Source organism: Homo sapiens, chromosome 4, assembly GCF_000001405.40.
Source record: "Homo sapiens chromosome 4, GRCh38.p14 Primary Assembly".
NCBI lineage: Eukaryota > Metazoa > Chordata > Mammalia > Primates > Hominidae > Homo > Homo sapiens.
In genome coordinates this window covers 116,336,519-116,338,338 of record NC_000004.12, presented here as the reverse complement: position 1 = coordinate 116,338,338, position 1,820 = coordinate 116,336,519, and positions in this window count along the sequence as shown.

Sequence of the window (1,820 nt, the reverse complement as noted above, 5' to 3'; positions counted from 1 at the left end):
ATCACTTCCTTTCAACATAGTTCTGGAAATCCTCACCAGAGTAATTAGGCAAGAATAATAAATAAACAACATCCTAATAGGAAAAAATAAGAAGTGAAATTGTCTGTTTGCTGATGACATATTACAGAAAATTATAGGTCTTATTGTAGAAAATTATAAAGATTCCATGAAAAAACTGTTAAAAATAATAAATGAATTCACTAAGGTTGAAGGATATAAAATCAACATACAAAAATCAGTTATCTTTGTATGTGCTGATAATGAACTCTCCAAAGAGAAATTAAGAAATCAATCCTGCTTGCAATAGCAATAACAACAAAAATACTTAGCAAAGAAAAATTCTTAGATATAAATTTAACCAAAGATGTGAAATATTTGTATACTGAAAACTATAAGACATTGATAAAAGATATTGACAAAAAACACAAATAAATAGAAAGACATCTTTTGTACATGGATTGGAAGAATTAATACTGTTAAAATGTCCAAACTACCTAAGTAAATCTACTGATTCAGTGCAATTCTTAGTAAAATTTCAGGTTCATTTTTTCACACCAATATACAAAACAATCAAAAATCCATATAAAGTCAGAAAAAAAGGCCCAATAGTCAAAACAAATTGAGCAAAACAAACAAACAAAAAAACCTGAGAGACATCATACTATCAGGCATCAAAATGTATTACAAAGTGATAATAATTAAAATATAATGGTATTGGCTTAAAAATACATCATACGCTGGAACAGGATAAAAAATCCAGAAATAAACCCACAGATTTATAGAAATTATTTTTTGTAAGGGTGCCACTAACACACAATGAGGAAAGGACAGTATCTTCAGTGGTGTTGGGAAGCTGGATAACCACATGCAGAAGATAAAATCTGATTCTTATATCATATACAACAAACATCTCAAAATGGATTAAAAGTAAAATGTAAGACCTGAAACTCTAAAATGAATGAAGAAAACATCGAAAAAAAAGCTGCTTAACATTGATCTAAGCAATAATTTTTTGAATATGGCCCTGAAACCATAGAAAACACAGCAAAAATAGACAAATGGGATGACATCAAACTAAAAAGTTTCTATGCAGCAAGGAAAACAACAGAGTAGAGACAACCCACAAAATTGGAGTCTATGTTTGCAAGCCATACATCTGATAAAGGGTTAATATCCAAAATGTATAGGATAATCAACTCAATAGCCAGAAAAAAAAACAAATATAAATGGGCAAAGACCTGAATACACATTTATGAAAGACATCCAAATGTTCCACAGATTCATTAAAAAAATACTTAACATTACTAATCATTAGGGTAATGAAAATTAAAACCACAATGAGATAATGAGATAATACCTCCTAACAGTTAGAATGACTATTGTCAAAAAGATGAAAGATAAGTGTTATTGAAGATGTGGAGAAAAGGGAATACTTGTATACTATTAAGTGAGAACGTAAATTTGTACAGCCGTTATGCAAAACCACATAGAGGTTCCTCAAAATATTAAAGACAGAATTACCATGTGCTTCAGCAATTCCACTTCTGAGTATATATCCAAAGGAATTCAAATCAATATGAACAACTGATGTCTGCACTCCCATGTTCACTGCAGCACTATTGATAATAGTCAATACATGGAGTCTACCTTAGTGTCCATCAACCAATGAATGCATAAAGAAAAATATGGTGTGTTTACAAAATTGAATATTATTCAGACTTTAAAAAGCAGAAAATTCTGTCATTTGCAACACATGAATGAACCTGGAGGAAGTTCTGCTAAATAAGCCAGGCACAGACAGCAAATACTACATGATATCA